This window comes from Homo sapiens, chromosome 6 (assembly GCF_000001405.40).
Source record: "Homo sapiens chromosome 6, GRCh38.p14 Primary Assembly".
NCBI lineage: Eukaryota > Metazoa > Chordata > Mammalia > Primates > Hominidae > Homo > Homo sapiens.
The window spans coordinates 137,855,013-137,866,268 of NC_000006.12; the positions used below are offsets into that span (position 1 = coordinate 137,855,013).

The 11,256-nt window shown below is 40.3% G+C and overlaps 1 long non-coding RNA gene across 1 annotated transcript in view; it reads right to left on the reverse strand.

Annotated features, from left to right (window-relative positions):
• Window positions 1-11,256, reverse strand: part of WAKMAR2 (wound and keratinocyte migration associated lncRNA 2) — a 44,565-nt gene that overhangs the window by 31,344 nt on the left and 1,965 nt on the right. Inside the window, exon 3 of the long non-coding RNA NR_049793.1 lies at window positions 10,147-10,308. This is a non-coding gene — a long non-coding RNA (wound and keratinocyte migration associated lncRNA 2). The remainder of the gene's footprint in view (window positions 1-10,146; window positions 10,309-11,256) is intronic.

An 11,256-nucleotide genomic window follows, 5' to 3' on the forward strand; every position in this document is an offset into this window, starting at 1 on the left:
TAAAACTGTGTTTGGAAAACTATCCCATATACAAAGATAAAAGACAAACTTTGCATATACAAATAAAAATACATGTATATTTGCAATTCATACAACAGACTAAGGGTTAATCCCTATATATAAACAGTTCTTAAACTTTGATAAGAAGGCCAATACCCAAGGAAAAATGCACAAAAGATGAGCGGTTACAGAAAGGGAAATAAAAATAGTTATTTAGGGCTGGGCACAGTGGTGCATTCCTGTAATCCCAGCACTCTGGGAGGCCCAGGTGGGAGGATTTCTTGAGGCCAGAAGTTCAAGACCAGCCTGGTCAATATAGCAAGACCCCATCTCTACAAAAAATTTAAAAACTTAGTCAGGCATGGTGGCACACACCTGTACTCCCAGTTGCTCTGGAGGCTGAGACAGGAGGATTGTTTGAGTCCAGGAGTTCGAGGCTGCAGTGAGCTGTGATCATACCACTACACTCCAGCCTGGAAGAAATAGTGAGACCACATTTGAAAAAAAGAAAAAGTTATGACCCACCACATTGCAGCATTGGCTCCTGCAGAAAGAGACTGGAAACTGCCTAAATGTTCATCGATAGTTAAGTAATGGTACAGCCATATCATGGAATGCTGTGCAGCCATTAAAAAAACTAATAATGTAGATTGCTTGTGCTGATATGGACGACTCCAAGATCTTTTCGGGTAAAAAGTATGTAAGCCTGAGAAAAGAACCTTCCAGAAGCTGAGAAACTTGCCTAAAATAACACTGCTATAAGGAGGGTAGTTGCTACTAGAACTCAGCTCTGTCTCAGTGTAGAGCCCTGCTTGTATTGGGCTCTGGGCACTGCTGTCGTTATACTGTGGGAAAGTCACATTGCTGGTAAGATGGGGAGGGTCACTGGATGCCCTGTTTTTGTGACTCCGTGGATCCATTGTTTCTTTGGGCAGTTTTTCAAAGAGTAGGGGACAGAGCATGGGATGAGGTATTGACTATAAGACTGACCTATTGAACAATTGTTTCTTGAGCACTTTATTAATGCTTTTCCCTTAACATGTGTCAGAGACATCCAGGACAAGCAGGGAGGTAGGGCTTCCTTGATCCTCTTAGGATCACTGGAGCCACCTTGAAGCTGAGGGATCTAGTATTGGTGCTATGGTTTGGCTCTGTCCCCACCCAAATCTCATCTTGAATTGTAGCTCCCATAATTCCCACATTTTGTGGGAGGGACCCGGTGGGAGATAACTGAATCATGGGGGCAGTTCACCCATACCGTTGTCATGGTAGTGAATAAGTCTCATGAGATCTGATGATTTTATAAGGTGTTTTCTCCTTCCCTTGGCTTTCATTCTCTTTTTGCTGGCCATGGAAGACATCCCTTTGCTCTTCCTTCATCTTCCACCATGATTGTGAGGCCTCCCCAGCCATGTGGAACTGTGAGTCAGTAAAACCTTTTTCCTTTATAAATTACACAGTCTTGGGTATGTCTTTATTAGCAGCATGAGAACAGACTAATACAATTGGGAAACATGAAAGTTTGTTCCCTCTGTCCTCTGCTCCTTGGAAAGCATTTTGTACCTTGAAGAAAGCTAGATATTTATGCCAAAACCTTTTCCATTCTGAAGGGGAAAGCACTCAGCAAACTAGAGCATTGACAGTAGTTGAAGGGCATGTGGCAACATCCCAAGTCAGTTCACAAAAGGAAATGAAGGCAGAGCTCTTATCTAGTTAAAACAGCTTGGGGAAAGAAAATGGGCAAGGGGTTATTACCTACCTTGGCATTTGGCCCAGAAAAGAAAGGTTGGTATTTCTTTTCTTAAAAAAAACTGTCAGGAAACCTCAAATTATAATCCTTGCTTTAGAGCTATAGAGAATTTTTCTTTCCTGAATCCCAGGGTACTTGACATATATGAATTATTTGGCCTTTGGAATGCTTCCTTAAAAAGCAATTACTGCATTAATTTTTGTATAGGTGGGGAAGTTAAATAAGATTAAGGTTTGACGAATTTACAAAACAATGTAAAGGCCCAACCTCTGGCATCTTTTCTGGAACTCCTAACTTTAAGTGATCTGTCCATTTGGCCTCCCAAAGTGCTGGGATTACAGGCATGAGCCCGGCACCCCGCCAAATCTCTGGCATCTTTTCTTCTTCTTCTTCTTTTTTTTTTTTTTTTGAGATGGAATTTCAATCTTCTTGCCCGGGCTGGAGTGCAATGGCACCATCTCGGCTCACTGCAACCTCCACCTCTCCAGTTCAAGCGATTCTCCTGCCTCAGCCTCCCTAGTAGCTGGGATTACAGGTGCACGCCACCACACCCAGCTAATTTTTGTATTTTTAGTAGAGACAGGGTTTCACTATGTTGGCCAGGCTGGTCTCAAACTCCTGACCTCAGGCAACCCACCAGCCTCAGCCTCCCAAAGTGCTGGGATTACAGGCATGAGCCCCACGCACGGCCAAATCTCTGGTTATCTTTTCTAACCTCTAAATTCACATTCCCTTGGTTTAGTGTTTACTGCTCTTATGAAGTGAGAGAAACCCCACTTGGCAAAAGCACGTTGGTATTTCCTAGAGAGGCTCTGGGTTTTGCTTTTGTTTTTGTTTTTGTTTTTTTAAGTTGTTGTTTGTTTGTTTTTACTTTCATCTGTTTTAAAGTTTCCATGGTAGCATGGTAGATTGTGGTCTATTGAGCAGTCAGAAAGCCTGGGTTTGATTTCTGGTCTGCACTAACCTGCTATGTGCTCCTGTGCATTCCGATTTACCTCACTGAGGCCGTTTCTTCATGAGGAGAAACTCAATGAGGAAATTTGTGTTAAATCAGATTATCAAGAGTTGCAGTATTATATAAAGCCAACGGAAGCAAGGCTGTTTTGGTTGGATTTGAAGAGGAACCATGGACGCACATCCTTTCTTGCCCATCTGCATGGCCTGAGAATAACCTTCATATCCTCTCCAAGGAACTCTAGGATTCCTATGTAGAAAGTAGCCAGAAAATGATCAGTCCTGATGGTTTCGAAGATCTCAAACTGTACCATTCAATAGTTCTATACCTGTAAAAATAAGTAAATGTGTAAAGGAATTCTTGAACTCCCTTGCAAAATACCCTTTACCCCAAGATATGGAAAACAACCATAAAATACCTTGTTGTAGCTTTTAGTTTTGTTAATTCCAAGCAAACCTTACAATAAAAAGACTTCTCCTGTCAGTAAAGTGAGCAAATAACAACTAACATTTATTGAGTGCTTACTATATGCCACTCACTGTTCTAAGCATATTGCATGTATTAACTTATTTAATCCTCCTAATAACCCTAAGTCCTATTATTATCTCCAATTTTTCAAATTCAAAACCAAAGCAGAGAAGCAAGTAACTTGCCCAAGGTTGTTTAGTAAGTGGCAGAACAAGCTTTGAACCCAGCAGTATGATTCAGACCCTATACTCAGATTCCCATATAAAATGTTATCCACTGTAATATCAAATCATATACAATTTTCTTGATGGAATCATAGAAAGATAAAATAGTGGAGTTGGAATGACTTAGGGATCAATGCATCCAGATCCTTCATTTTATAAATGAACAAAATGAGGCCAATTTAAGAAGGGAAAAAAATAATCTCTTAATCTCTTGGTTCAGCTGAAAGTTCCACTGTTTTTTCTAAAGTTTCTCAAAATGATTTATATAAGAATTTGTACCTTAAAGACATTTAAAAAAAAAAATAGGTATTGGCCAGGCACATTGACTCACACCTATAATTCCAGCACTTCAGGAGGCCGAGGAAAGAGGATTACTTGAGGCCAGGAGCTCAAGACCAGCTTGGGCAACAAAGCAAGACCCCAACTCTATAATAAATTATAAATTAGCTGAGTGTGGTGGCGCAAGCCTGTAGTCCCAGCTACTCAGGAGGCTGAAGCAGAAGGGTCGGTGAAGGCCACAGTGTGCCATGATCACACCACCATACTCCAGCCTGGGTGACAGAGTGAGACCTTGTCTCTAAAAAAATAATAAAACTTTTAAGAATTTGAAAATTAAAAAAAACAGGTATCAGCTCAGACAAACAGAAGCTTTAAGGCTTAGAGTAAATGATCATTAGTTTAGAAGGTTATTAATGTTCTGTTGTGAATTTTTTATTTAAATTATCCAATTTAGCACTAGAAAGACACTTTGAAAATAGCAGCATCCAGAGTTCCGCATTGTTCGTTCAGTTATCACAAAGTAAACAGCTGTAGCAAGGGAATAAGACATAGCAGGCTGTGCAGTTCTGAACAATTATTGCTAAAATGCCTAAGGCCAAGAATTTTTCAGCCACCCAAGAAGTATAATAATTTTCTCGAAGTTCAAAGCCAGAGATGTATATATGAATTAAGTTCTTACATAAAAAATCTTTTGCAAAAATCTCAAATCCCATACTTGCTCAAGTTAGGATGTTTGACACCATTGAGAACCAACCAAACAATGACTGTTTGGTTCAACCAGAGAACCTAAGAACCAACCATGAAAGCCTCAAGAATCAAGGCATTTCTTACAGGTTTATTTCACACCTGAATTGTAACAAGTTGAGTGTTCCCAGAGGTACTTCTTAAGGTATCATAAAAGTAACTTATTTCAAGAGAAAATTACATTTCATTGTAGAGATGAAGTATAATGCTTCTCTAGTTGTTTTCTGCAGAGAGCTGAACATGTCTCAAGATAGATTTGGTAGATTTATTTCAAATATGAAAAATTCAGGAACCCCTCCCCAACCCTCTCCTACTCCCTGGAAAGCATATACTAAAAATATGGCAATTCCAACTTTTTCTCCTGAATGCCTAAATGCTCTCTAATAAAAACTAGAAATCAACAAGGCTAAATTCTAGGGATTTTATGAGAACAGAACCAGTTAAGAAAAATTAAAACATTTTTCCCATTAATATAAAACAAAAGATGAACACTTTTGCATGTAAGTTCATTTACAAATAAATTTTTAAAAATTAAAGTGCATGAAAAAACATTTTAAAACTTCCAGACATTAATATGGGAAAACAGCCAACTTGCTGTAAACAAAAGAATAATAAATATTCTAAACAAAAATAAAATTCTAAGCCCCCGAACCACTGAATGGACCCCCAACTCTCAGCCGAGGGGATTTCAAAGAAACCTAAAATACTAGTTCAGGCCATGATGGGAAGGGAGGGTCGGACATGCTTCATTATACTCTCCTCTCTTTGGAATTCAGGCACAACTGACCAGCATTAACATTAAAACAGAGATCTTAAGACTGACAAAACAGACTTTTTGTAGCAATAAGATAGCAATGTGACAGGAGGCCCTGAAAGAAATCCAAGTATTTTACTTCAAAATATATTTATTTGATACATTTTGAAATGACCTGGCAAAGCTGTCTGTTGTGAGGAAACTCTCCATTCCGTAGATAATTCTCTCTCCTTTCCAGGTCTTTTCCTGATCCAGGAGATATTCAACTGAGTCTGGCACCGTTTAAGGTCTGATAGGAGATATTTACCACCTATTACTCTTTCTGAAGGCTGCTACCAGAAGGCTTCATCTTCATAACAAGAACCTTGGCCTCCACAACCCTCCTTATCTTAACCCTAAGCATTTCTGTCTTAACTCCTTAGAAAGAAACTTAACTGTTTCAACCAACTGCCAATCAGAACACCTTTGAATTCAACTATCAGCTGTAAGCCCAACACCCTCCTTGAAGTTGTCCTACCTTTCTGGACCAAATGAACATATACGTTACATACACTGATTGATGTCTGCCTATAAATTCTGTCCCCCTAAACTGTGTAAAATCAAGCTGTAACCCAACCACTGTGTTTGGATACATGTTCTCAGGACCTCCTGAGGCTATGTCATGGGTCATGGTCCTCACATTTGGCTCAGAATAAATGTCTTTAAATATTTTACAGAGATTGGCTTTTTTTTCTTTTTTCTTTTTTTTTTTTTTTTTGTTTGTCAACAGCATAGAAACATCCATACTAAACATACCTGGCAGAAGGTCAGTGCATCTCTCCCTTGCTGATGGTTATTCATTCAAACATGAAAGGAGAAAATAACTGGTTTAGTCTTTCTCAGGAACACACACTCTTTTTTTAGAGTCAGACTATTTTCTTCTTCAATGAGTTAAGTTTTACTAGAGACACTTAGTAGTATATTTGGAAACTTAAAATGTAATAGTAGTACCTCTTCTTTTCTGATCTTCTGTTTATTCCCTTACCTACCTAAAAAGATCAATCACTTACTAGGATTAACCCAACACTTAGGCTCAATCAACTGCATGAACGTGTTTGGACTCTCAAAATACTATATTTCCTCAATTTTACAACATACTTTTTTTAAACATTTAAAAATTTCTAATATAATCATTAGTTTAAATTTTTACGTAAAAAGCCTCAAATGCCAGGGAGTGAAGAGAGGTGGTTCTCATTGCCTGTGCATTTGCAAGCTTAGAAATGTCTAAAGGAAAGGTATCTTTTCATTCTTCCTCCCAATCCTTTCATTCATCTAACAAACTGTTGTTCACTGAGTGCCTGTTTTGTATCACGTACATTTCTGGGCACAGGGAGTACAGAGTACAATGATAGGCAAGCATCAATGATAGACTCTCAAAGAGTCTCATTCTAGTAGGGAAAGGTAGATGATAAACAATTGAACTGATAAATAAAGAATTTTCAATTGTGATAAATGTTACAAAGAAAGCAAGACAGAAAGATCAGGAAGTGGGGTAAGTCAGGGAGGTTTCTCTGATTAAATAACATGTAAGCAGAAAGCTGAGTGCTGAGCAGTTGCAAGGGCAGTCCCTGTAGAGAAAACAGTAAGTGCAGGGGCCCTGGGGCAAGCTGGCCTGAGCTCAGCAGAATAAGGGAACATGGAGACACCCTGTTGACTCATTTACATGGCTAGCTGAACAAGAAGTTCCATTTAACTTAAATTTGGATTTCTATCTCTTAAACAAAATATCTTTCAAAAGATACATTATGATGCTAGACTAAAGCTAACAGAGAAAAACGCAGAACTAAAGTCCATTGTTTCTGGTAAAGCAATGGCCCGTTTGGTCCCCATATAGAGATAAAGCTGTTTAAATGCATCATGGAAAAATAGGCCCACTCTCATGATGAAAGGCTTATAGGGAGCCAAATTCCTTTCCAAAGCTGTTATTAAACAGAGCATCTTTTTTTTTTTCTTTTTAATGGTTGCAGCACACCAACATGGCACAGGTATACATATGTAACAAACCTGCACGTTGTGCACATTTACCCTAGAACTTAAAGTATGATAAAAAAAAAAAATGAAAAGAGCATCTTAAAGGACTATCTCTATTTCCAGCAGACCTTCAAGAGAAGTTTAAAGGAATATGTAATGTTATAGTCAATTCTAAATTACTAAAAAGGCCAGAAGAGGCAGATTACTGCAAACAGCCTATCTGAGCACTGCAGTACACAATTGTCAAGGATCAAAATCAGCTCAGAGGAATCATAAAACTCCAAGAAGCCTTCGAATCAAACATGAATGGTGACAGTGAAGAAGAAAGAGAAATGTCATCACATCAATAAACATAGGCTAAGTGAGTAAAGGAAGAAACGTGTGTACATTTCCTACAATAAGGTTGTTCCCCTCCCAATCTTGTTATTAAATCCATAGTGTGTCTTACAAACATGGACTCTCAGAATCATAGAAATACCACAGCTCTTTCTCCAGCCTGCTAAAGTGCTTGGAATTTCCACCATTAAGCTCTAGGAAGTTCTGTAAGAACATTTTATCAAGAAATATAACACAGTAACACATCACAATCTGTTTGAAAAATGAGCATGATTTATCTTACCAGCCAGTCCCGGGAAACAGGTCTCTGAAAGAATGGAAGCCTTTCAAATTCTTTTTTTATGGAGATGGCTGGCAGCCAAAGGAGCAGGATTATAGAGACCCCAAACTAGACTGAAGGGATTGAGGGACAAATGAGAAAGGGGAATGTCAAGGCAAATTTTCACAATGGCTTGCACTATTCCAAGTAACAGGAACTAATTTATCTCAGAAACACCGGGCTTACTGCTAAAACCAACACTGCTTTCTAGCTCGTTCCTAATAACACCCATTTCTGGGCTTTCTAACATCCTATTTGGTCATTAATAGCAGCCTTCACAGAAACATAAATGAAACTAAGAATTGAATATTTATATTTATGATGTAAAATAAAATTACTTTCCCAAGTGTTTCAGCCAAGTGTTGACAGGAAATAAAACAGAATTCACAGGGATAGTGGATTTTCTGACAAGTTTGAGATGTCAGCATCGCACGCTTTCAGGCAAAGTGCAACAGAAGGAACTGTACTTGTCATTACACCAACTGCCTCCTTCCCAGTGGAGGGTCTTTGATCCTGGTACTATGACTCACTGGGTCACTAAGGACTTCAGTTGTCCCTCCACCATGGTGGGTCTTGGGTTTCTCCATTCAGTCCAGATAACACATGTAAAGGATCTGAGGTCCCTAGATAAGAAGCAACATTCAGTAGAATTTGGCATTCATAGGATGATGAAATTTATGACATCATTATCCCAGTTCTCACGGTTATAATCCACAGAAAGCTTCTCTTTATTCTCAGAACTAGCCCTTGTAGTGGCCTTGAATGTGCAAACGTTACCCTTTAGTAATGTTTGAGGCAGAATTTGAAAATCTGAAACATGATTCAAAGCTACCCTACAATAACTAAGCTGCCATAGTTACCTAAGGCTGCTTCCCAATATGTTTTCTATGAATCTGCCTTTCCAATAGAGCACAGTGCAGGGAAAAGGGGAGGGGGCAATTGTACAAAAGACACAAAAGGTCCAGTTTTAGTTTGGCCCATGACTGCCATGCCCTGGAATTCTGTACAGTCTCAGAAAGAGAGTGTCACTGATTATTAAAAATACATAATTTCTTCTTTTTTATTTTTTTAATTTTTAGAAACATGGGTCTTACTATGTTGCCCAGGATAGACTCAAACTCCCGGACTCAAAGGACCCTTCCCTCTCAGCCTCCCGAGTAGCTGGGACTGCAGACGCATGCTAATTAACAATCAACAACCAGGGGCCAGGCGCGGTGGCTCACGCCTGTAATCCCAGCACTTTGGGAGGCCAAGGCGGGTGGATCACGAGGTCAGGAGAATCGAGACCATCCTGGCTAACACGGCGAAACCCCGTCTCTACTAAAAATACAAAAAATTAGCCGGGCGTAGTGGCGGGCGCCTGTAGTCCCAGCTACTCGGGAGGCTGAGGCAGGAGAATGGCGTGAACCCGGGAGGCGGAGCTTGCAGTGAGCTGAGATCGCGCCACTGCACTCCAGCCTGGGCGACAGAGCAAGACGACGTCTCAAAAAAAAAAAAAAGAATCAACAACCAATCAACTGTTGCTGATTCTTGATTAAGAAAGGCTCATGAAATATGTTTGAGCTCAGCAGGGTCTCCTCTCACTTGTCACACGTGGTGCTCTCTTTCATCAGGTTCTTCCTGCTCCCCCCATCTGGGCAAGCACATCTTTTTTACTGCATGGTACAGGGATACAGGCTGCAAGCACAGTCTCACGGGAACCGTTTAATTCCAAGAGGTCATGTGTGCTCATTTTACATAGTTCATGACCCATAAACCCCAGCATTGGTGTCAAAATGGCACGTAACTTAGGAACTCTCCAAAAATATTTCACATAATCAGAATTCCTTTTTCATCTAATAAGGAGACATATTTTTTCTCCTAAGTGTCTACTAAATGTTAATAAATATTCTCTTCTTTAAAGAGTTCTGTCCATCTTGACAAGGCCTATAGCTCAAATTAAATCTCCTTCAAGGCTTTTCAGCATTCTATATCTCTTTGGTTTCAACTTATTCAACAAATCTCCCCAAATTGTATTTCTCCTTTTTTTCATAAGAAGGCATTCCATCTATACTCTCTCCTTCTCTTCTTTTCTTTCCTTCTGATTCACCAAGAAAATTGTCATTGGTCTTGTCCATGTGTTACATAATAGAAGGGGAAAAGGCAAGGGTACAGCCCAACACAGCGCTGATTTAGAAGGTGGAAAGGACAGTAAAGACCGCCTGGTGGTGGGAGTGGCAATTCACAAGCCCAGCAGTAGAATCATGGAAAGTGGAGTTCGAACATAATCCAGGGCTATAGACCACTCCTGCATCTGACTGCTATTACCTTGTCACAAATCCTGGCAGGCAAGATGACAAAGCAGTTACATCAGGACAGTTGGCAGTGGCAGGTATGAACGTGGCCCCTCAGGCTTGTCACTCCTCTTTACTGCACTCCCAGTTCATGACACCAGACAGCAAGACATGAGCCAGATAGGGGCAGTGGAAGCTGCAGGAGGATTGAAGTCATGGAGCCAGAGATGAGAGGAAACAGGCCAACTCTGTTTACAAAGGAGCACCAGCAGGAGAGTGGTGTGAGGATTAACATTCCATGCAGGGTCTTTCAGATACATGATCTTCTTCTGCCAGCTCAACTGAAACCCAGGAGGTTTCCTGAAGGTGAAACCAAGACCCTTCTACCTCTGAAGCCGCATTCTGTCTAAGGTCCGTGTTTGGCTGTTTTGAGAGGCTGGGAGACAGGACACCAAAAGAGTACCTGTCTCACAGGATCTTTCCTGAGAGGAATGGTCTAGTAAGACTGGTCATTATGGGCTTTGGAGTAACACAGGCTTAATGCCACTGGCGACTCTGCCCCTTTTGGTTGTGGAAACTGGGCAAATGCCTCAAGCTTCTTAACCTTCATATAAAAAGCATATATAAGCATATAGCAAGTACTTGATAAATGTCATTTTAGACCCTGTCATTTCTGCTAGCCCTGGACTCCAGCAAGGTCCATTTACAATGGATAGCTGACTATCCATTGTTTGAATGTTGATAGCACATTTGTGAACAAGAAGAGAGGACAAATAACAAGAGGTTTGGAACTGGAAGAAATTCCAGCCATCGGTTTTAAAAGACGAGGACCAGTCTTCAGAGAGGCCACTAGTGACACTCTGCTCCAAACTTCTTTTTGCCAAAAAAGTGCCACCCTCCATCCAGCCCCCACCCCCATCTCTGCAAGTCCTTACTGGCGAGAGGAGGATACTTTTCTAATTAAAAACCTGTGATATATGGCCTGACAAGTATTCTTAAATGTAATTAAGGGGACCATAGTACAGAATATTTCCATCCGGTTCTAGTTTAGCCAATCTAGTAAATGATCCAAAGGGTCCCGTGCTTAGAGGGCAGTAAGACAGTAAAAACGCCCTAAGACTCCTCCCTGCACAGCACCTGCACC